This window comes from Homo sapiens, chromosome 6 (genome assembly GCF_000001405.40).
Source record: "Homo sapiens chromosome 6, GRCh38.p14 Primary Assembly".
In the NCBI taxonomy this organism is placed as follows: Eukaryota; Metazoa; Chordata; class Mammalia; order Primates; family Hominidae; genus Homo; species Homo sapiens.
This window is the reverse complement of record NC_000006.12, coordinates 43,076,296-43,098,742: the sequence shown is the minus strand read 5'-3', so window position 1 is coordinate 43,098,742 and position 22,447 is coordinate 43,076,296. Positions and strand designations below refer to the sequence as shown.

Sequence of the window (22,447 nt, the reverse complement as noted above, 5' to 3'; positions counted from 1 at the left end):
TCTTCACCTCTTATGATCTGCAAAGCATATTTCTTGCTTTTCAATTCTAGTAGCATACCGTTTACTACTTTTAAAAAATCTTGACTTGGCAGGACGCGGTGGCTCACTCCTGTAATCCTAACACTTTGGGAGGCTGAGGCGGGTGGATCACCTGAGGTCAGGAGTTCGAGACCAGCCTAGACAACACGGCAAAACCCCATCTCTACTAAAAATGCAAAAATTAGCCAGGCATGGTGGCAGGCGCCTGTAATCCCAGCTACTTGGGAGGCTGAGGCAGAAGAATTGCTTGAACCCAGGAGGAAGAGGTTGCAGTGAGCTGAAATTGCACCACTACACTCCAGCCTGGGCGACAGAGCGAGGCTGTCTCAAAAAAAAAAAAAAAGTTTGCTTCTTTTTTCCAGCAGCATTCCAAGAGAGAAATGACAGGACGTGAACTAAGCCCAGGACTAGGCAATTAAAGGAGAGGGAATAGATTTGAGAGCAGTGAAGGGCATACTAACCAATGGAGAAGAAGAATAAACAAAGCTAGGCAGCAAGCAGTGCCTTAAGGGCCCCCAAAGTCCATGTTGAGGAGGAGTTGGGGGCTCATGCTGAATGTCTCTCAAGCTCACTTCCCACAACAGCAACCCTTGCAACACACACCTCACTAGACCCTCACCCCCTCACCGTAACCCATGAGGCGGATATTATCATTTCCATTCTACAGATGAATAAACACAGTTCAGAAAAGTTCAACTGAATTCTGGTCTTTGGAATCCAAAAACGTCTTGAGCTACCACTGGGCAGCTGAGGCAGGGTTAGGCTGTGTGGGAAAACCAAGGACAAGACTTTGACCCACTGGATCAACCTTACCATCGAGTTGTAGGCAACAAAAAGAACATACCTGATAAAATGGAAAACAGAAAGCAGCAGCTAATTCAGCGCTAACTGGTGGTGAACAGAGAACACAGTCTCAGAGATCAGGGATAAGATTTCCAGTGGGCACTGGGCTCCCACACTGCCAGTTACCTGAACAACCCTGGGTTATCTGGCCATCTCGGCATATTTAGTAATCATGGAGGTGGGGATGTTTGGATGACAAATTATCTGGTCAACCCAGCAATGCCCCGCATTTGAACTATGTTTACCAATATTTATAGATTATCCTGTGCAAATTTCACAGGCCCACTGCAGAGCAGTGATTCAGAAACTTTTTTGGTCATAGACCTGTTAAGAATCTGATGAAAGCTATAATCTCCCTCTCCACAAAAATAACAAATACAAAATCGTCTATGTAATTTTGACACGTTCATATCCTTTGACAGAGCAACTCCACTTCCAGGAATTTGTCCTACAGATATACAAGCACAAGGACAAAGACAGGTACAAGGATATTTGTGGTGGCATTGTTTAAAATAGGAAACCCTCTGAAACAAACCTGAAGTCCACCAGTAGGGCACTGGTGAAATAAACCAGGGAAGTGGGGGCAGGATGGGGTGAGGGAGTACAGACAGCACCGGCTTCAGGTTTAGCTTCCCTTTAAAAGATGCAGGGGCCTTCCTGCCCCCCACCCAACCTGGTGCCCCCAACTCAGCAAGGTCCCTGGAGAGGAAGAAATGCAAGCAACCGCGCAGGAGGAGGCTAAATAATGAATTGTAAGTGTGTGTTTTCTTTGGCCAGGGCAGTCTGGCCAAGCTCTGGGGGCTGCTGGGCAAACATTTTTCATATTTTAGTAGCTGGCCTATGCCCAAGGCAGTCAAAAGTTAAGCAAGCTTTGAATGAGCTGCTCCCTTGCTCTCCACGGCCCCAAGAATTCTTAATGAGGTTCTAAGGCAGCGGCCTCCAGGCCCCCAGCAAACTGGTCATGTTGCCTTAAATATCACTCACCCTTCACTACTTTTAATGAATGCAAATGATTCAGCAACAAAACACTTAGCCTGAAGTGAAATCCGTCTTTGTGCAGCCGGTTTCACCAGCTTGCTGACAGCCCAGCTCAGGCAGGGCCCTACCGGACAGGCAGGCAGGCTGGCCCAGCACAGCCGCAGGTGCCCAGGCTAGCCCAGGCAGACCCCTGCACACCCAGGGCAGCAGCAAAAGGCAGGAAGTGCAGAGCACAAGGGAAGCTCTCCATCCCACCTACCACCCCAGCGACCAGGTGCAGACCTTCACATCTCCACCTCTTTATGACTCTGGCTCCAGGGCAGAGGAAAGTGTGAGCAGGAAAAACAAAAGGTATTTATTTGATCTAAGGAATGGGGCTTAGTTCCAGGCACCTCAAAGGCTTGTCCGGTCACCACCCACCCCCACCTCCCCTTCACCTGAGGCCAGGTTCCAGAGGAACTCAGAAAGAGAACCCGCAAAGCTCCCTTGGATCCCGGTCCTCCTTCACCAACTGCAAGGAAGTGACAAAAACGGAGACAGTGTGAAGAACCCAATTTACACCGTTTTCGAAGTTCTGTTTTGGCAGCAAAAACTGAAAGCAGTTTTTCAGGAGTCTGAGAGCAACTTTTAACTAATTTCTCTCCAACCTGAGGCTCAGGGGGATTTCTTGCCCTGTCAGCCTGATCAACACCTCTCCCCGAGGCTGAGATAGCAGGCCTGGCCCAGAACAGGCAGCTGTTAATTCAGCTGCCACATCTTCACCCGAGAGGCCAGCCGCTGGCGGGAGACCCACAGAGGTCCATGCAGGCTCTCTCTAGGCTTTCTTGGTTGTGGATACAAATATGGAATCGGAGGGCATTAGACCCAAACTAGGCAACTGGCTGAACTCAGGACTACTGAGAGCTTACACATATCTGTGTAGCTGCATTAGATATAAAAAGGGCTTTGAAGTATTTGTTGACTTGGTTTAAAAGAAACCATGGTCCCTTTCAACCCTCACAGGACAATGAAGACAAGATCAGTCTCCCCAACAGAAAAAAGTTTCTCATTGTATCTTAGAGGGCCTCCAAAAATAAGTTGTATTGCATCAAAAATGCCCTTAGCTGTACATCCATCTTTTAGAAAAAGAGCACTGCAATTTTCTTAAAACAATCAGGAAGAACATTTCAATGCTGTTCTTCCCCATCATTTAAGGCACACCATCTATTATACAATACCTTATTCTTCAAAACACTCTCATAGGAAGCCAACCGAAGCGGAGAAGAGCATTCCTTAATCGAGGGGCTGAGTCTCCTAGCCCCTGGGACTCTTAAGTTCTTGCCTTCCATAAATTGGCCCCTTTCCTTCCTGGGCCTCAGTGACAACGCAGAAAGAATGCTTTCCGAAACCCATATGTGGTAAAGTGCTTAAGCCTACAGAAGTGAACAGGTAGAAGGCTTGACACACGCATCTACACAGCAATCTACTGTGGGTTTTTTTGTTGTTGTTGTTTTGGTTTGTTTGTTTGTTTAAGACAGAGTTTCATTCTTGTTGCCCAGGCTGGAGTGCAATGGCACAATCTTGGCTCACTGCAACCTCCGCCTCCCAGGTTCAAGCGATTCTCCTGCCTTAGCCTCTCAAGTAGCTGGGATTACAGGCATGCGCCACCACACCTGGCTAACTTTTTTTTTTTTTTTTTTTTTTTTAGTAGAGACTGGGTTTCTCCATGTTGGTCAGGCTGGTCTCGAACTCCCTACCTCAGGTGATCCGCCTGCCTCAGCCTCCCAAAGTGCTGGGACTACAGGCGTGAGCCACTGCGCCCGGCCTTTTTATTTATTTATTTATTATTATTATTATTTTGAGACAGAGTCTCGCTCTGTAGCCCAGGCTGGAGCGCAGTGGCATGATTTCAGCTCACTGCAACCTCCGCCTCCCGGTTCAAGCAATTCTCCTATCTCAGCCTCCCAAGTAGCTGGGACTACAGGTGCCCACAACCACGCCTGGCTAATTTTTGTATTTTCAGTAGAGACAGGGTTTCACCATGTTGGTCAGGCTGGTCTTGAACTCCTGACCTCAGGTGAGCCACCGTGGCCTGGCCAGCAATCTATTTTAAAAAACAATTTTGTGGCCGGGCGCAGTAGCTCATGCCTGTAATCCCAGCACTTTGGGAGACAGAGACGGGCGGATGACGAGGTCAGGAGATCGAGACCATCCTGGCTAACACGCTGAAACCCCGTCTCTACTAAAAATACAGAAAAATAAAAATAAAAAATTAGCCAGGCATGGTGGCAGGCGTCTATAGTCCCAGCTACTCGGGAGGCTGAGGCAGGAGAATGGCGTGAACTCAGGAGGCGGAGCTTGCAGTGAGCCGAGATCGTGCCACTGCACTCCAGCCTGGGCGACGAGACGGACTCCGTCTCAAAAAAAAAAAAAAAATTTGCTTTTGATATTCATACAAAAGGGACACAACTTTGTCTCTTCACCTACCATATAAACCCCATAACCAAACCACCCCACCATCAAATGAACCAGAAAGCAACCAAAAAAAGAATTCCTTAGCCTTTGGGAAGTTACAACGTGACTGAAGGGGGAAAACTGGTGAGGCAGGAGAACAGGGTCTGCAGGCAGGGAATCTAAGGCTGTTTCACACCGACGTCCTCCAACTAAATTGAAATGAAAGCCCTATCTACTTTCCAGGCCTAAGTAACAAAAAGAGCAGAGGCTACTACTCCCTTTGAACTTTTTTGCCAGGCAGATGGGAAATTGGCTGTCTGCAGCCAATCATACTGAGTGCGAATCCTGTCTTCGTTTGCAACTTTGTAACTTTACTCCAGCCTCTGAATGGTTGCTGTCCACAACCAATCAGACTGACTGCTGGCCCAGTCTTCCTTTGCGTAGAAGTATAACTTTAACTTCACCCTAGCCTCTGACTGGTTGCTTTTTCTAACCAATGAGATGTTTGCACAGGAGCATGACATTTGCATGAAGTGGCCAGTGGGAAACTTTTAGGGGGTATTTGGGTCCAGGAAGATTCTGTATCCCAGCCCTTAAGCCGCTGCTTGGGTCTGCTCCCACACTGTGGAGTGTACTTTCATTTTCAATAAATCCCTGCCTTCGTTCTTCTGTTGCTTCATTCTTTCTTTGCTTTGCTGGGGGTTTTGTCCAATTCTTTGTTCAAAACACAAAGAACCTAGACACTCACAGTCATGACCCTTTACCAGTGACAATGGCATTCAGCAATGCTTGGGTAGCACAAAATAGAATGGATGGCAACCAGCTGTCTCCACAAAGTTAGAATCAGCCCCACACAAGTGTGCTGCTGGGGAAGAAAACGCTAGCATCTCCTGTCCGTCTCCTGCCTGCCTGACCCAGGTCTCCATCCTCTGAGCTCCTGACATTTACTGTGTGCCTCTCTTTGGTCTTCTCTGTATCCTTGTCTTGTTAATCACTCTCTCCAGATTCTGTCTTGATTCACCTACCAGCAATCCATTCCTGGAGTGAACCTCCAGTGTCCCCCAGCTCAGCCTTTCAAAATGGAGACTTTGAATTAGCCGGGCGTGGTCGTGGGCGCCTGTAATCCCAGCTACTCTGGAGACTGAGGCAGGAGAATCGCTTGAACCTGGGAGGTGGAGATTGCAGTGAGCTGAGATTGTGCCGTTGCACTCCAGCCTGGGCAACAAGAGTGAAACTCCGTCTCAAAAAAAAAAAAAAAAAAAAAAAGGAGATCCTATCATTAGAGAGTCACTGTATTCTTTCCATAATAGATAGACTGTCTGCCTTGTTAGGGACACCTACCTCCTCTTGTAAACATCTCTTGCCTTATAAAGACTTAAAGTCACCCCGCCCCCCTGCCATCAGCATGCACACATGCATACAATACTTAGCATGATGCTTTATGCCTTAAGCATCATTTGTTATTTACATGCCAGACTAAAAGGAAAACAGGTTTTATTGAAAGTTACTGGTAGATGGGAAGCAAAACTAGGCCTGTAAATTACAGTTATAACCATCACAGATAAGCATCACAGTCATAGCCATCACAGATAACCATCACAGCTATAACCACCACAGATAACCATCACAATTATAACTACCACAGATAACCATCAGTTATAACCTCCACAGATAACCATCACAGTTATAACCTCCACAGATAACCATCACAGTTATAGCCAACTTTTACTGAGCATTCACAGTATCACAGACTAAGTCCTTCACATATACTGAATTTAGAAGATGCTCCATTATTTATGTGCACCAAGAGGACAAAGTGGTACTAGTTGAACTAAGGCACAATGTTATATACAGTAGTCCCCCCAATCCTGGGGGGGATATGTTCTATGACCCCCCAGTGGATGCCTAAAACCTCAGGTAGTAACAACCCCCAAATGTTATGTTTTATGCCTATATATACATACCTACAATAAAGTTTCATTTATACATTAGGCACTTGACATCTGTAATCCCAGCACTTTGGGAGGCTGAGGTAGTAGGAGGATTGCTTGAGTCTAGGAGTTCAAGATCAGCCTGGGCAACAGAGCAAGAGCCTATCCCTACAAAAATTTAGCTGGGCGTGATGGCACACACCTGTAGTGCCAGCTACTTGGGAGGCTGAGGTGGGAGGATCACTTGAGCCCAGGAGGTCGAGGCTGCAGTGAGCCATGATTGCACCACTGCATTCCAGCCTGGGCAACAGAGCAAGACCATATCTCTAAAAAACAAATAAATAAATTAGGCACAGTAGGCCGGGCACAGAGGCTCACGCCTGTAATCCCAGCACTTTGGGAGGCCGAGGTGGGTGGATCACGAGGTCAGGAGTTCAAGACCAGCCTGACCAACATGGTGAAGCCCCATCGCTACTAAAAATACAAAAATTAGCTGGGCGTAGTGACACGTGCCTGTAATCCCAGCTGCTCAGGGGGCTAAGGCAGGAGAATCACTTGAACCCGGGAGGTGGAGGTTGGAGTGAGCTGAGATCGCGCCACTGCACTCCAGCCTAGGCCACAGAGCAGGACTCCATCTCAAAAATAAAATAAATTAAAAAAAGAGTTACTTGAACCCAAGCATCTGATACCCTGACATTCGATAAACTGGACAAAGGGATGATTCATGTCCTGGGCGGGATGGAGTGGGATATCAAGAGATTTTATCATGCTACTCTGAATGGCATAAAACTTAAAACTTGTAAGTTGTTTATTTCTGTAATTTTCCATTTAATATTTTTTGACCATGGGTAGCTGAAACCACAGAAAATGAAACCACAGATAAGGGGTGACTACCGTAATTAATTATAAGTTACATCCCAATTTCAAAGATGTGCAAATGTGAAAAGAAAAAACATCTAAGAGTTAATGAAATGCAGTACCATCTCACTCAACTCTTGCAAGAACTCTAACGAGACTGGTATTATTATTCCTATCTTACAAAAGAGGAAACCGGCCAGGCGCAGTGGCTCACGCCTGTAATCCCAACACTTCGAGAGGCCGAGGTGGGTGGATCACCTGAGGTCAGGAGTTGGAGACCAGACTGGCCAACATGGTGAAACCCCATTTCTACTAAAACAAAAATATACAAAATTAGCCAGCCATGGTGGTGTGGGCCTGTAGTCCCAGCTAGTTGGGAGGCTGAGCCAGGAGGGTCACTTGAACCCAGGAGACAGAGATTGCAGTGAGCCAAGATCACGTCACTGTACTCCAGCTTGGGCGACAGAGTGAGACCCCATCTCCAAAACAAAAAAAAAAAAAAAAAAGAGGAAACCGAAGCTCAGAGAAGTGAAGTAAACTAAGGTCTCTCAGCCAGTAAGCTGTGGAGCCAGAAGTCAGTTCCTGAACAGATTTCTGAATTTCCCTGGGAAGCGGGGAGCAAGGAGGGGGCAGCCAGGCTTCAGACAGATCCTTCTTGGTTAGGCTGACCCATCAGAGGCAAATAACCCTGACTTGGCTGATCCCTAAAATCAGGGTCTTTCTTCAAGTGCACCTTCACAGGTCCTACTTCCAGAAACAACAACAAAAAAAAAGAAAACAGGTTTCCCTAGCTCCTTCCTTACAAAACTGGCTGGAAGTGAGGGGGGAACCTCTCAGCCAACTTGTTATATATAAAGCACATTTAACGAGCCTTTCAGGTCCTGGGAGTAGAAGAAGGAAGGATTCATTGGAAATCTGATACTTTGGCAACCAAGCGGGAGGGACAAGGCCCTGAGCATCAGAGCCTGAGGATAAACACCATCCCAAACCTTTGTCTGCCAGAAGGAGATACTTCCTGGGGGAGCAGGAGGCAGCAATGCTTTGTATGACAAAGCCCACCTAACAACAACCTCCACTGGAGACCTGGCTAGGGTCTTTGTACAACCCACCTAACCATAAACCCTCTATCTTTTCCCAAACCTGCTGGGGTCCCTCTCTCCACAAATACCTGTGACCATCATAAACGCCCTTAAACAGCCCCAGTTTACTGCTCAGCCTGCCTGCTGCTAAATGAGGGCATTTGTTTCAAATTTGCAAATACCGACAGCAGTGGAAACCTAAGTCCACCCCTAAAATGAAATGTTCTGCATTCCTCCAGGCCTGAAGCACCAGCTTCAAAAGCTGCAAGAGGCCCCGGCTGTTTACTCACTGGTGGGGCTATTGGGAGAAGTATTTTCCTGCTCCCTGAGGAGGCTCCTTTGATCCAGGCAGAGTGGGAAGGGGCAGAGAGCGGTGCCACCTGCACCAAGGCTAGGCTGAGCCCACGCTCTCCTACCCCTTTCTGGGTCACCAGCGGCAGCTGTGCAGTGCCTGGAAAAGGGAGTCTCTTGGAAAGGCCCAAGTAGAGACTCGCCTAAAATTGCTGTCTGGAGACAGAGCAAGCTGGCTTGGTGGCTTCCGCAGGATCTCTCAAGCCATGTTCAAAGGCCCTTCAGGCAAAGGTAAAGAGGGTAAGGAAAGACACAGGAGGCTGTACAACCCCTGAGAGCACCCCAGCCTCTTACATAGGCAGTAACAAAGGACAAGGTCCCCACCCTGTTTTTCCCAGTCCATGGCACAGCTCAGGACACTCCATCAAAACAGGGTGCAGGTGTTTATTAAATAACAGCCTTTTGTTCTAAGAAGTTTTGCTAAAGGGGAGGGGGGATAGGAGAGAGAGAGACCTTCCTACAGGTCTCCAGGGCTGTTCCAGGACCCAGCCTAGCCCCCTCCCCTCAGTACTCCTCCGGTAAGAGGCCTGGATCCCTGGGGTAGAGGAGGAGCTCAGATCGTGGGCAGAAAAGCTGCTGCGTAGCTGGGCATTTTTTTAATTGGTCAGTTTAACAACTGGTTTAATCTGCTAAAGGAACTAAACTGATAGAATGCTTTGTTCTTTGTGCTGGAACTATTAAGAGATCGACAGCATTTCCTTTTTTTCTCCCCCCTGAGGCTGTAAGACAATGTTTTCTTTGTGATTTGTTTTGTTTTTCAGGTGGCTGGAAATTAGGTTTGGATCTCAAATGCCATCCTAGCACTCTCTAAGGATCTGTTGGCCTGACAGAGCCTTCTCCCTCTTCTTCTAGGTGGGAAACAGCCCAGCTTTGTAAACAGATGAGCTACAATGGAATCAGATCACTAGAGTTGTCCCTTTGCATCCTTCATTGACAGAACATAGGTTCCCACACTGGAGTCTGAGAACCTCCAAAGCAGAAGAACAAACTCAGTGGAATCACCAAGAGTGGTCAACGGTTCAGCCAAAGAGAGATACACCTGGCACAAGAAAAGTGGCATCACCCGGAATGTCAAGGTCATGATCCAACCTCACCTGAACACTCCTGAGGGTTAAAAGACTTGACTCCAAAGTCAGAAATTAAAGGGAAATCTACATCATTAGGCCCCTACTATGAGGCAGGGCCTGGAGCACCAAGCGTGGGCACATCTACCTACACAAAAGTAGTATGAGGTGGCTAACTCTATTAACCACTATGGGGATGACTCTATTACCTCCTACGTGGTCTCCACCACAGCACTGCTCAGCATACATCTCCCAGCAGGAAGCAATAGTCTGGAATGCACCTACAAGCCAGGGCCTGCAACTGCCTGTGACCTTCCAGCAGCACCAGGAGGAGGAGGCTAAGGACTCATGGGTTCATGAGAAAAGCTCAAGCCATCGGGATTTAGGCACAGTGTTCTAGCCTTTTAGATTACATATAGTTTCACCATAACTCTTTATTTATTTATTTATTTATTTATTTATTTATTTATTTATTTTGAGATGGCGTCTCACTCTCACCCAGGTTGGAATGCAGTAGCATGATCTCAACTCACTGCAACCTCTGCCTCCCAGGCTCAAGCCATTCTCCTGCCTCAGCCTCCCGAGTAGCTGGGATTACAGGCATGCACCACCACAGCTGGCTTATTTTGTGTTTTTAGTGGAGACTGGGTTTCACCATGTTGGTCAGGCTGGTCTTGAACTCCTGACCTCATGATCCACCCGCCTCGGCCTCCCAAAGTGCTGGGATTACAGGTATGAGCCACGGCAATTGGCCACGTGTGCAGCATATCATAGCACAGTAACACCTGGACATACAAGGACTCTAAGTGAAGGCACAGGAGGGACTGGCACTCTGGTCTCAGCTTTCTACCTTTGTTTTTTGAGACAAGGTCTCTCACTGTTGCCCAGGCTGGAGTGCAGTGGTGCAATCTTGGCTCACTGTAGCCTTGACCTCCCAGGTTCAAGTGATCCTCCCACCTCAGCCTCCCAAGTAGCTGGGATCACAGGCACGTGCCACCGCTGCTGTCTAATTTTTCTTTTATTTTCTATTCCGTAGAGATGGGGTCTCGCTATGTTCCCCAGGCTAGTCTCAAATTCCTGGGCTCAAGCAATCCTCACGCCTTGGCCTCCCAAAGTGCTAGGATTACAGGTGTGAACCACCACACTGGCTTCAGCCCTATTCCTCACCAGCTCTGTAGTGCTAGGCAGATCGTACTTTTGTGCCTCAGTTTCTTTCCCTGTCAAATACTCTCCCTCCTAAATCTTTACAGCACCCTTTGCACCCAGAAAATTATACCCTAATACCCACATCACCAGTTGGTCAAGTCTAAACACATCTGTGCCCACGCACTAGAGACTCCAGAATAAAAAGCAGCCCTTAGATTAAAGTGCTCTCCCTAAACCCAGGGTAAGGAGAGCCTGTAAGGTGTGGCAGAAACAAGGCTGGAGATGCCACACTGAGTGAGCCTCAGCAAGGGCCCTCCAAGGTCTTCTGTTCTGAAGTTGAAGCCTGGAGAAGAGGATGGGACCTGCCCATGGTCACACAGGCAGTTTTAGGCAAATGTGGAAGGAGAGTCCATGTCTTCCAACACTGACCCTAGTGCTCCTCCTGGTGCTTCCTCAGGCTCAAGAGGTATGAACATCACCAGGATACCCAGCGCTGGAGCTCAGCAAGACCCAAGACCTGCCTTTGGGACTGAGGTCCTGCCACTTCTCTTGCAGGAATTCCTCTAAATCAGGAATGCCCACACACTTTACCTGGAGACCCTAGTGTCCCCAGGGAGAGAGGAAACAAGAGAAAGGAAAACTGAAAGCTCCTAAATAAAATGTGAAATAAACTCTGCGGCCCACTCTTCCCAAGGATTCTGCCAGCCTTCCACACCAATTATCACATAAGGCTAGGAGCCTGTATCTGCAAGACAGCAAAATCCTCTCACAGGGAAGGGGCCCAGAAATAGGTCAAGACTTCAGCAGCCACAGATATACAATGTGGGGTGGGTACAGTAATGGGGCTCCACCCTCACCGGCTTCTCCTATTGTATGTTACAGGCAGGATTGCCCCATCCCACCACCATAGGAGGCAGAACAGTAGTGAAGAGGGCTCACTTGAAACATGACTTTAGAACAGAGGCATCAAAATCATCTTGGCCCATCAGCTGGGAAACAAAGAGCCACAGCTGCAAGGCCTTCATGCCAATGGAACAGCCACCTTTGACTGTACAGGTTGTGCACTGCTCAAGATGTCTGACCAAAGAGTCAACACTGAAATACTGCCTGAACCCTGGTGCAGGACTGCATCTACCTGGAGGAAGGGTTTTTTTGTTGTTGTTTTTTTGTTTTTTTGAGATAGGGTCTCGCTCAGGTGCCCAGGCTGGAGTGCAGTGGTGCAATCACATCACAGCTCACCCACTTCAGCTCTGACCTCCCAGGCTCAAGCAATCCTCCTGCCTCAGCCTTTGAGTAGCTGAGACTACAGGCGTGCACCACCACACCCAGCTAGTTTTTTTGTATTTTTTGTAAAGACAGGGTTTCATCTTGTTGCCTAGGCTGGTCTCAAACTCCTGAGCTCAAGTGATCCACTTGCCTCTGCCTCCCAAGTGCTGGGATTACAGGCGTAAGCCACTGCGCCCACGACTGGGAGTACTTATTTGTAATGTGCACAAAGGTACCATACGAGCTAGCTGCTGGGACACCTCAGCAGTCCCAAAGCAGACAAGCGTTCCCCTCATTGCCCCGCCACCACCCCAAGGAGGAGACAAAAAAAAAAAAAAGCCAGAGTGTCTCCTGGAGGGGAGGTTGTACATGATAGTGCCCATGCGGGCCCCCATAACCACCCCCAGGGAGAGCCCACTGCCCTTGGCCACACAGAATCTCAGGAACCTCCCCACAGCACAGACAGAAGTTCCCACAAATTAACAGAGTCGCTGACTGGGGAAACCCCCACAGTCATCCAGTGATTATAAAAACCCCTCCCTTGGGTATCATAAAAGTCTGCCTAGGCTGCCTGAAGCACAGTTCACTACCCACTCCCTGAGAACCTCAGCATGCCAGGAGAGACAGTGGCCCTGAACCAGCACCAACCCACCCCTTGGGAGAATCTGCTATTGAGACAAAGAGAGAGGGAGAATTCCCACCAGGAAAATGTGGCTGTGTGTGGCTCCCACATTTCTGGGCTGCTGTTGGAATACTGAGACCCATTTAGAAAACTTGTGCTTTTGAATGAGGAAGCCATGTTTTTTTTTTTTTTTTTTTTTGAGACAGAGTTTCGCTCTTGTTGCCCAGGCTGGAGTGCAGTGGCGCAATCTCAGCTCACCACAACCTCGGCCTCCCGGGTTCAAGCGATTCTCCTGCCTCAGCCTCCTGAGTAGCTGGGATTACGGGCATGCGCCACCACACCCGGCTAATTTTATATTTTTACTAGAGATGGGGTTTCTGCATTTTGGTCAGGCTGGTCTCGAACTCCCGACCTCAGGTGATCCACATGCCTCAGCCTCCCAAAGTGCTGGGATTACAGGCGTGAGCCACCGCACCCAGCCCAAATGAGAAAACCATTTCTAAGGCTGCTAGTCAAGAGGGACTTTGTTGAGCCTTTGGCAAACCATTCTAGGGTCCGAAGGCTGGAAATAAAGGCTGACACCTCTGGCCAGGCACAGTGGCTTATGCCTGTAATCCCAGCACTTTGGGAGGCTGAGGCAGGTGGATCACGAGGTCAGAAGTTCAAGACCAGCCTGACCAATATGGTGAAACTCCGTCTCTACTGAAAATACAAAAATTAGCCGGGCATGGTGGCGGGCACCTATAATCCCAGCTACTCGGGAGGCTGAGGGAGGAGAATGGCGCGAACCCGGGAGGTGGAGATCGCACTACTGCACTCCAGCCTGGGCGACAGAGAGAAACTCCATCTCAAAAAAGAAAGGCTGACCCCTCAAAAGGAAACGGCTGGCCAGGACAGTCTCTGGGAAGAACCATCAGGGCTAGCCAGAGGGGCTGCTTCCCAGGGGTCACCCATTTCCACAGTTGAAGAGCATTATATCACAACTTCACAGGGGCCAGCAAGGCAGGCAACAGCATCACTTGCATTGTGCTCACGAGGAAACTGAGGCTCAGAAAGGTTAACTAACCAGCTCAGGGTCATGTGGGTATGCAGCAATTGAGCCAGGACCAGAATACAGAAAAACTGGTGTCACAGGTCTATAGATGTCTCTTCTATTACTTCATCACTTGTGGCTGCCATGTGATATTAGAACAGTACCACCCAGGTTTTCAGAATCCTGGTCCGATGACTTTACATCATTCTGAGGCCGTCACTGACTACATCTATTCATCATTCTGAGGCCGTCACTGACTACATCTATTCAGCAATGTAGGGTCTTCTCTCCTCTCTGAAGCCCTCCCACCCCCTATTTGCTCCTACATCTCAGACTTACCATCCCACACATTCTAGAATGTTCTTCTATTCTACTTAGCACTTTACCAAATGGTGTCTTTCATACTTCATCTGATTCACGTTTCTCCATCTTGTCTTCTTCCTGCATTCCATGCCTCCTCAGACAGCTTCACCCATAGAAGACACTGAAGCACTTTGAATGAACTCCCTCCTAAGCCCCCCACTATTAATATCACCCTTTTTCTCAACACCACACCTCCGCTTCAGACTGATAAATTCTCCTTATGGCTACCCAGTGGTTCTCACACTTAAGCGTAGGTAAGAATCTCCAGGAAGCTCTTTATAAATGCAGTTTCCAGGCTGGGCGTGATGGCTTACGCCTGTAATCCCAACACTTTGGCAAGCAGAGGCAGAAGGATAGCTTGAGCCCAGGAGTTCAACACCAGCCTGGGCAACACAGCAAGACCTCGCCTCTATTAAAAATAAAAAATAAATTTAAAAAACTAGCCAGGTATGGTGGCATGCACCTGTGGTCCCAGCTACTTGGGAGGCGGAGGCGGGAGAATCACTTGAGCCCAACAGGACAAGGCTGCAGTGAGCTGTGATTGCACCACTGTACTCCAACCTGGGTGACAGAGTGAGACCCTGTCTCAAAAATAAATAAATAAAAATTAAAATGCAGTTTCCTTTTGAAATCTGGCCTATGTAACTGGATCAGCTATTCAAAAACAGCAACATAATCTAACAAATAAATAAAATGCATTTTCTGGCCTCTCCCTCAATAATTCTGATGGGCAGGTCTGCAGTAAGGCCCAGGAAACTAAACTTTTCATCAATACTTTGGTGACCTGCCCTATACTCTCCACTCTAATTTGAGAAACACATATCTACACCTTCCTAATATGTAACTTACAATCCCTACCCTGCGACTCGGGACTTTGTCTTCAGAAATTACATACACACCTAAACCTGTGAGTGCATATCCCGCTTATCAAGGCTTACACTTCTAACAGGGGCTTGGGATCTGCAGGACACCTGGTGGATGACGTTCTAGTCACCTGAGCGTTCACTCAACACATACCCCAGTTAATGCACACAGCAGATGAGAGTTTAGCAATGTAAAACCAAGTTGCGAGAGGGGAAAGGCGCCTGTGTGTGTGTCAGCCCTTCGAACCAAGCTTCCTCCCTGCCCCACTGCTGTCTGTGTAACATTATTGGGAGGGAAACGGCCTAAATGCAGAGAAGAAAAGAGGATGGAAAAAGTGACATACTACAGAGGGCTTCCTCAAACCGCTGATTAGCTGTGGCATCTCTCAGGCCAGCTCCACCAAAGCGCCAGGGGGCTCAGCAGTGAACTCAAGAGAATTCCAACATAGGACTCTAACCAGCTACAATGGCAGGACTTTCACACCCTCAGAAGAAGGACCAGGCAGATGGGGGCCAGAGCAGGAATCAGGAGAAGGGCAGGCGGCAGCTCCAGGGCAAGGTGAGGGCCAGTGCCAGCAACTGTGGCCCCAAGCCTGTAACCCCACCACGTGGCTCTGGCCAGGGGTAGTGCCCAGGCACAGCAGCAGAGAGGCATCTACTGAGGTTAGGGAGAGCAGGAGGTTGAGGGACACAGGCCAAGGACACCCAACCTTGTTTAATGACCCTTTCTTCCATCAGGAAAACACCAAAGACTGAATCCTTGGCCCCAAACTGCTCTTGGCTCCAACACTAGAGTCTGAACCGGCCAACCTCTATCCCAGACGAGTCTCACAGAAGCTGCATTGGCTTAAACACAGACTCACACAAACCCCCTCACTCCAGAATATGAAATGCTCCAAAGACTAACAACACTACAGCTGTCAAAGCCCAGCGGAGACATGCCTCCCTTTATGAGCCAAATGTATTCCTGAAAAGTTGTCTGTCGACCAAATTTCTGCCTAACAAATCCAGTTTCTCCACTGGCTTTCGTTATAAAATCAGCCGTATTCTCCTCTAGGAAAAGCTGAGGTTCTGAGAGGAGCTAAACATCAGGCTGAATATTGCAGACTTCCTAGAGTCACACATTTAATGGAGAAATTTCTTGACAAAATCTAATTCAATTTAAACCCAAAGGAGGTAATATTAAAGCGTACACATCACCCCAAGGAGTGTTCGCATAAAGTGAGTTATTTAAAGCAAATCTTCAAATACTGTGCAGCATCTCAGCTCCCAATTTATACTGTTGCAACAGGAAAGCTCTGTGCCTTGAGATTCTGTATAAAGAAGGATGCCTAGGCCAGGACTTCTGGAACTCTGGGGTACAGAGTCACCTGAGCATCTTGTTAAAATGCAGATTGCAGCAGGGCACGGTGGCTCACGCCTGTAATCCCAGCACTTTGGGAGGCTGAGGTGGGCGGATCATGAAGTCAGGAGTTCGAGACCAGCCTGACCAACATGGTGAAACCCTGTCTCTACTAAAAATACAAAAAAATTAGCCTGGCGTGGTGGTGCGCGCCTGTAATCCCAGCTGCTCAGGAGGCTGAGGCAGGAGAATCGCTTGAACCCAGGAGGTGGAGGTTGCAGTGAGCCAAGATCGTGCCACTGCACTTCAGCCTGGGCGACAGAGTGAGACTCCATCTCAAAAAGAATAAATAAATAAATTGCAGATTGCGATTCTGATTCATGCTCCCAGGAATGCTGATGCCACGTGGCCCTGGGTCTTTCTTCAAGTAGCACAGTTATAGATACTCTAGGCCCCTACCCAGTTCTCTGAGGAAGCAACTTTAGCACCAGTTTTTAAGTTGCAGTCAGCTTCATACGTAGCGGTGCTTACCCACGCACAGAACTTGGAGAAAGCTAGAAGACCCACCACATCAAAACTGAGAAAAACCACCACCAAAACCAGCCAGCCCAGGATCAGGGAAGGAAGGTCTGATCCTTAATTTGGTCACCGTAGAGCAGGCGCAAGGAGGAACAGGCAACCCCAACTCAAAGAAGCTGGGGAGGGTGCAAAAGACTCCCCATGCCTAGGATGCAAGGGGATATTTAACTCCACCCTTGATCATTCTGCCCTGCACCCAAATGGTTCATTCACTTTTTAAATAAACCTATATGAGGACCTGTTATATCGGCTGGGTGCAGTGGCTCACGCCTGTAATCCCAGCACTTTGGGAGGCTGAAGTGGGCAGATCACCTGAGGTCAGGAGTTCGAGACCAGCCTGGCCAACATGGGGAAACCCCGTCTCTATTAAAAATACAAAAATTAGCTGGGTGCAGTGGCACACACCTGTAAACCCAGGTACTCAGGAGGCTGAGGTAGGAGAATCACTTGAACCTGGGAGGTAGAGGTTGCAGTGAACCAAGATCGTGCCAATGCCTCCAGCCTGGGAGACACAGGCAGACTCCATTTCAAAAAAAACAAAAACAAACAAACAACAAACAAAAAAACCACCTACATAAGAACCCATTATAAATAAGTACTGTACTAAACTCTATGGGAGAGCCCCTCAGTAAATTAAAACAAAACCCAATAGGGGCAAAAATATGGATGGTGTCGCAAGAATGACAGTCCAGAAGTTCTACAGTGTCTACCTTCTGGCAGGAGAGATAGGACAGCTTCAGGGAAGAAGAGGCGGTGGGGCTGGGCAACAGAGAGACAGGAGAAGGCAATGTACAACCGGGGACTGGCCCGAAGGAAAGAAAGGTGGGAGAAAACCAGATATGTGTTAGGAGATGGCAAATATTCCAGCTGGACTGGAATGGAGGGTCCCAGTAGGTAAAATGTCTATTGTTGGGAATGACTGTAAAGCTGAAGGAATCTTTGAAGCACACCACAGAGGGAAGACCAAGAAAGGGCTGTGTGTGTGTGTGTGTGTGTGTATTTTTTTTTTTTGAGACGGAGTCTCGTTCCGTCGCCCAGGCTGGAGTGCAGCGGCGCGATCTCGGCTCACTGCAACCTCCACCTCCCGGGTTCAAGTGATTCTCCTGCCTCAGCCTCCTGAGTAGATGGGATTAGAGGTGTGTGCCACCACACCCAGCTAATTTTTGTATTCTTAGTAGAGACGGGGCTTCACCATGTTGTCCAGGCTGGTCTTGAACTCCTGACCTCAGGTGATCCGCCTGCCTTGGCCTCCCAAAGTGCTGGGATTACAGATGTGAGCCACTGCACCCGGCCTACTTCATTATACTTAATCCTCAGCACAACTCTAGGATGTCCCTTTATAGAAGAGGCTGAGAAGCTAAGAGGTTCATCCAGGGCCACAGGGCCTGCCAATGAGTCTGAGTTGCTGCTTTGCCAGATATACTCCTTATCCCTGGGCTCCACATCCCTCAACAGAGGATCAAAAACACTGGGGGAAGATAAAAATTAAAAACAATACAACAATAAAAAAGAATACAAATTAAAGAATACAACAGTTATTTACATAGCATTTCCATTGTAATAGGTATTACAAGTAATTTACAGATTTTTTTGTTTTTTTTGAGACAGAGTCTCGCTCTGACACCCAGGCTGGAGTGCAGTGGTGCAATCTCGGCTCACTGCAAGCTCTGCCTCCCGGGTTCACGCCATTCTCCTGCCTCAGCCTCCCAAGTAGCTGGGACTACAGGCGCCTGCCACCACGCCTGGCTAATTTTTTGTATTTTTAGTAGAGATGGGGTTTCACCATGTTAGCCAGGATGGTCTCGCTCTCCTAACCTCATGATCCGCCCACCTCAGCCTCCCAAAGTGCTGGGATTACAGGCGTGAGCCACTGCATCCTGCCCTTTTTTTTTTTTTTTTTTTTGAACTCTGTCACCCAGACCGAAGTGCAGTGACACAATCATGGCTTACTGTAGCCTCAACCTGCTGGGCTCAGGCAATACTCCCACCTCAGTCTCCTGGGCAGCTGGGACCACAGGCACGTGCCACCATGCCTGGCAATTTTTTTTTTTTTTTTGTACAGGTGGAGGTCTCATTGTGTTGCCAAGGCTGGTCTTGAGCCCCTGGGCTCAAGCGATCCTCCTCCCTCTGCCTCCCAAAGTGGTGGGATAACAGGCGTAAACCTGGCCCTTAGAGATGATTTAAAGTATACAGGAGAAGCTGGGCATAGTGGATCATGCCTGTAATCCTCATACTTTAGAGCACTGAGGCAGGAAGACTGCTTGAGCCCAGGAATTTGAGGCTTCAGTGAGCCAAGATTGTGCCACTGCACTCTAGCCTGGGTGATAGAGGAGACCCTGTCTCATAACAAAACAAAACAAAAGTATACAGGGAAGTTGTGTGTACGTTATATGTAAATACGACACCATTTTATATAAGAGACTTGAGCACCCTTGGATTTTTTTTTTTTTTTGAGACGGAGTCTCGCTCTGTCACCCAAGCTGGAGTGCAGTGGCACGATCTCGGCACGATCTCGCCCAAGCTGGAGTGCAGTGGCACGATCACTGCAAGCTCCACCTCCCGGGTTCAGGCCATTCTCCTGTCTCAGCCTCCCGAGTAGCTGGGACTACGGGCACCCGCCACCACGCCTGGCTAATTTTTTGTATTTTTAGTAGAGACAGGGTTTCACCGTGTTAGCCAGGATGGTCTCAATCTCCTGACCTCATGATCCGCCCGCCTCGGCCTCCCAAAGTGCTGGGATTACAGGCGTGAGCCACCAGGCCTGGCCGCACCCTTGGATTTTGTTATTCTCAGGGAGTCCTATTCCAATTCCCTGCAGATGCCAAGGAAGGACCATACTTTATCTCCATTGCTTGAGCTCTGTCCACCACTCAATGCTGCTCTGAACACCAGGAGTTTGAGTATATCATTTGACAAGTGACAAGAAGAGCACCCTTGCCCTGCCACCATACTTCCCAACAGCTGAGAAAAGCCATCACTAATAAAAGCAACTCCTAGGCCTGAATTACAGGCTGCAGAGCCTTGAGGAATCTGCAGACAGCCTATCCCAGAACATGACGACTCAATTTCCCCAAAGAAACAAGAGCCCGGAGGAAAGAAACCAGGGAGGGGGATGGGAATTGGAATGAGAAGTGACCACAGCTGACTGTACAAGAGGTTGGGGTTAAGAATCCATAGTTTCAAACATCAAGCCTCCTCCTCCTCCACCATATTTATTACAACAGCATCTCAAAGTTTGGAAAGTAACTCTGCCATTTATGGCATAATTACCCAGACTTTAAAATGGTCTAATCCACAAACCTAGCCAGCCTAGGTTCCTTACTCCAGCCTTATTAACAGTGGGATCTCACTACAACTCCAGTTAATTACACAATTAAACAATGAGATGCAAACATCTACTGTGATCTATTAAAAAACCGTTGCCCCTGAAGTCATGCGTCTGGGGGTGGGTTGAGTCCCAGGATTTCACTAGAAGACAGCAGGCGCCTCGGCCTCCACTGAAATTGTTTACAGCACATGGACAGGTTCCACAACAAGGCACATTTGGTGGAATTGATTTAAGGCTCTCATTAAAATGTTCCTTTGTTGAGCACAAGACATCCCCCCACCCCTGAGGAGACTACAGACCTCCTGTCCTAAGCCCTCAGCCTGCCCTAACTTCCCCCAACAGGATCCCCCACACACACGCGCGCACACACACTAAACACCAACCAGTCACCAGATTAAGTCAATTAACATCAGAGTCATCTTCTCATGGAAGGAATTTAGGAATTCAGCATTTGTTGAGCAAGAGCCCCATCTTCACCAGAAACTCCCCTTGACTCTAGTACCCTGAACAGCAGCAGTGAAGGCAGCCTCATTGGGCAGACCCACACACCAAAACCCAACCAGGACAGCCAGGGGGCCTGTGAGCTTGGGCTGCTCGCCCAGATGGCTGGGCCCCCATCCTGGCTGTGCAAAAAAACTTCCATACTTCCTCTGGGAGCAGATGTGGATTCTGCCACGAGCAATAACCACCACACACATCACAAGAAAAACGGGGCAACTCCAGAAACACCTCCTCCAAATCCCTGGAGATTGGTCTCTTTCCTGGGTTACATTTACCTCTCCTTTTACAACTGGGGGCAGGGGAGATGTTGATTCCACCAGCACCAAAACCCCTCCACAGCTGGCAGGCCAGAAAGATATTAGAAAGGCAATTCCTTACCCATGCCCTTCCCATTGCCACCTTCAAAGGAGATGGAAGGTGATCACCTAGGACAGGTCTCCTCGACAGAGCTCCCCAAGAGAAAGCTGCTTCGAGGACCACCAAGGAGTGTTGTGGAGGGTCGGGGGCTTTATTTCCAGTCCGGGCTATTTGGGATGTGCGGGTGGCTTGGTGCTTTCCTGTAAGGCACTTCAACACCTCAGTGATGACTCTTAGGTGTGACCAAGCCAGGAAATAAAAGCTGCGGGAGTTGGGGGGGCGGTGCTGTCTGCCCTGGTGATGAGGGCCACACCCTCGTTAAAATGCTAAGGCCCCCCCCCAAGAAAAGCCAGAATGAGCTCTTTTTGCCTTTCTTCCCTTAGAAATACTTCCTTTCCTCTGTGAGGACAGTCAGGATGGAAATCCAGGAAGGAGCAGAACAAACCCCGTCCGCACCTTTGCAGCCAGGCCATGCCCGATTTTGGCAGCGGCCTTCACACATTAGTCACCGCGACAGCCTGGGACCCTCGGATCCCCGGATTCGGCCCTGGCACGGAGTGGGCGCAGGGTTCCAGACCAGTAGCTAGAGGCCATGGATGGGGGCGGCCCCTAACTCTTCCCTTCTTCCGCCCTCACCCGCAGGGCCATCTGGGGTCTCAGCTTTGCCCAGGAACTCGGAGGAGGGAAGCCGGGAACGTCGGGTCGGCGTAGGTAACAAAGCTCCGCGCTTTGCGCGCCGCAGGTCTGTCCGGCATCGGGCCCCAAACCAGCAACTCTTACCTGGGCCGACCCTGCCGGGTGGGGTGGGGAATTCCTTTTTCTCCATCGCGCTCCCCACGGTGGGTGCGGATGGTCTTTTCTCCCCCGACAAGAAACTCCCCATCTGGGCCCGAGAGCCAGCAACTCTCGGCAGTTCTCGAGCAAACTCTCGGCTCAGACCAGAAAAACTCAGGGAGGCTGGAAATGCGTCCCCGCGGCGCGAGTGGGAGGGGTACCCTGACCGCGTCCCTGGAGGCTTCGCCAGCCTCCCGACACCCGGGCTCCTTGCGCCCTTCCGCCGCAAGCCTGCACCCCCAGCGAGCCTCTCCACTACTCCAGGGCCGTTCCAGCCGCCCAAACCCACCGCCCCGGGCGCAGCCTTTTGCCCACGGGACTCCCGCGCTTCCCAAGCTCTGTGCCCCCAACTCTCGGGTACTCACCGCCCAGCAGCGGCAGCAGCAGGACGCTGAGCAGAGGCAACCGGCGGGGTCTGGCCGGGGATCCCCGCGCAGCTCCCATCGCGGCGGGCTCAGGAAAAGGAGCTGAGGGCGCACGGCGGGCGCGCAGACTGCGCTCCGCGGCGGGCACAGGAGGCGGAGCGCACCGGAGCGCGGGCGCCGCAGCAGCAGCCGCAGCCGGAGCCCGACCCCGAGGCGTCCCGAGGCGTCCCGAGCCGGAGCCGCGCGCGCCCAGTACCTCCGAGTCCCCGCGC

The 22,447-nt window shown here is 49.5% G+C and overlaps 1 protein-coding gene across 10 annotated transcripts in view, besides 10 other annotated features; it reads right to left on the bottom strand.

The window, feature by feature from the left end:
- PTK7 (protein tyrosine kinase 7 (inactive)) overlaps positions 1–22,429 on the bottom strand; it is an 85,402-nt gene extending 62,973 nt beyond the window's left edge. For 6 of the 10 annotated variants that reach the window (NR_072998.2, NR_072997.2, NM_002821.5 and 3 more), the window contains exon 1: positions 22,176–22,429. Coding sequence is in view for 8 of the 10 variants with exons in the window: in NM_002821.5 (NP_002812.2) it covers positions 22,176–22,254 (79 nt within the window). In the remaining 2 variants the exon portion in view is untranslated. Of the gene's footprint in view, positions 1–21,756; positions 21,930–22,175 lie in introns of those variants that run through there. The other 4 variants (NM_001270398.2, XM_011514765.3, XM_011514766.3 and 1 more) reach the window with 1 other exon arrangement.
- Positions 2,015–2,104: an enhancer, noted in NCBI's record as "active region_24591". NCBI's record gives its function as "activates an Ori minimal core promoter by ATAC-STARR-seq in GM12878 lymphoblastoid cells {active_cell/tissue: GM12878}" and the evidence as "EXISTENCE:reporter gene assay evidence [ECO:0000049][PMID:35858748]".
- Positions 2,145–2,214: an enhancer, noted in NCBI's record as "active region_24590". NCBI's record gives its function as "activates an Ori minimal core promoter by ATAC-STARR-seq in GM12878 lymphoblastoid cells {active_cell/tissue: GM12878}" and the evidence as "EXISTENCE:reporter gene assay evidence [ECO:0000049][PMID:35858748]".
- Positions 2,685–2,784: an enhancer, noted in NCBI's record as "active region_24589". NCBI's record gives its function as "activates an Ori minimal core promoter by ATAC-STARR-seq in GM12878 lymphoblastoid cells {active_cell/tissue: GM12878}" and the evidence as "EXISTENCE:reporter gene assay evidence [ECO:0000049][PMID:35858748]".
- Positions 7,334–7,927: an enhancer, noted in NCBI's record as "NANOG-H3K27ac-H3K4me1 hESC enhancer chr6:43058554-43059147 (GRCh37/hg19 assembly coordinates)". NCBI's record gives its function as "activates a minimal SCP1, AML or CMV promoter by ChIP-STARR-seq in primed H9 embryonic stem cells {active_cell/tissue: H9 hESC(primed)}" and the evidence as "EXISTENCE:reporter gene assay evidence [ECO:0000049][PMID:30033119]".
- Positions 7,928–8,522: an enhancer, noted in NCBI's record as "NANOG-H3K27ac hESC enhancer chr6:43057959-43058553 (GRCh37/hg19 assembly coordinates)". NCBI's record gives its function as "activates a minimal SCP1, AML or CMV promoter by ChIP-STARR-seq in naive H9 embryonic stem cells {active_cell/tissue: H9 hESC(naive)}" and the evidence as "EXISTENCE:reporter gene assay evidence [ECO:0000049][PMID:30033119]".
- Positions 8,523–9,116: an enhancer, noted in NCBI's record as "NANOG-H3K27ac-H3K4me1 hESC enhancer chr6:43057365-43057958 (GRCh37/hg19 assembly coordinates)". NCBI's record gives its function as "activates a minimal SCP1, AML or CMV promoter by ChIP-STARR-seq in naive H9 embryonic stem cells {active_cell/tissue: H9 hESC(naive)}" and the evidence as "EXISTENCE:reporter gene assay evidence [ECO:0000049][PMID:30033119]".
- Positions 14,868–15,433: an enhancer, noted in NCBI's record as "H3K4me1 hESC enhancer chr6:43051048-43051613 (GRCh37/hg19 assembly coordinates)". NCBI's record gives its function as "activates a minimal SCP1, AML or CMV promoter by ChIP-STARR-seq in naive H9 embryonic stem cells {active_cell/tissue: H9 hESC(naive)}" and the evidence as "EXISTENCE:reporter gene assay evidence [ECO:0000049][PMID:30033119]".
- Positions 15,434–16,000: an enhancer, noted in NCBI's record as "H3K4me1 hESC enhancer chr6:43050481-43051047 (GRCh37/hg19 assembly coordinates)". NCBI's record gives its function as "activates a minimal SCP1, AML or CMV promoter by ChIP-STARR-seq in naive H9 embryonic stem cells {active_cell/tissue: H9 hESC(naive)}" and the evidence as "EXISTENCE:reporter gene assay evidence [ECO:0000049][PMID:30033119]".
- Positions 17,035–17,238: a silencer, noted in NCBI's record as "fragment chr6:43049243-43049446 (GRCh37/hg19 assembly coordinates)". NCBI's record gives its function as "represses an EF-1alpha promoter that drives an FKBP-Casp9 reporter gene in an ReSE screen in HepG2 liver carcinoma cells and K562 erythroleukemia cells {active_cell/tissue: HepG2 | K562}" and the evidence as "EXISTENCE:reporter gene assay evidence [ECO:0000049][PMID:32094911]".
- Positions 22,342–22,441: a silencer, noted in NCBI's record as "silent region_17218". NCBI's record gives its function as "represses an Ori minimal core promoter by ATAC-STARR-seq in GM12878 lymphoblastoid cells {active_cell/tissue: GM12878}" and the evidence as "EXISTENCE:reporter gene assay evidence [ECO:0000049][PMID:35858748]".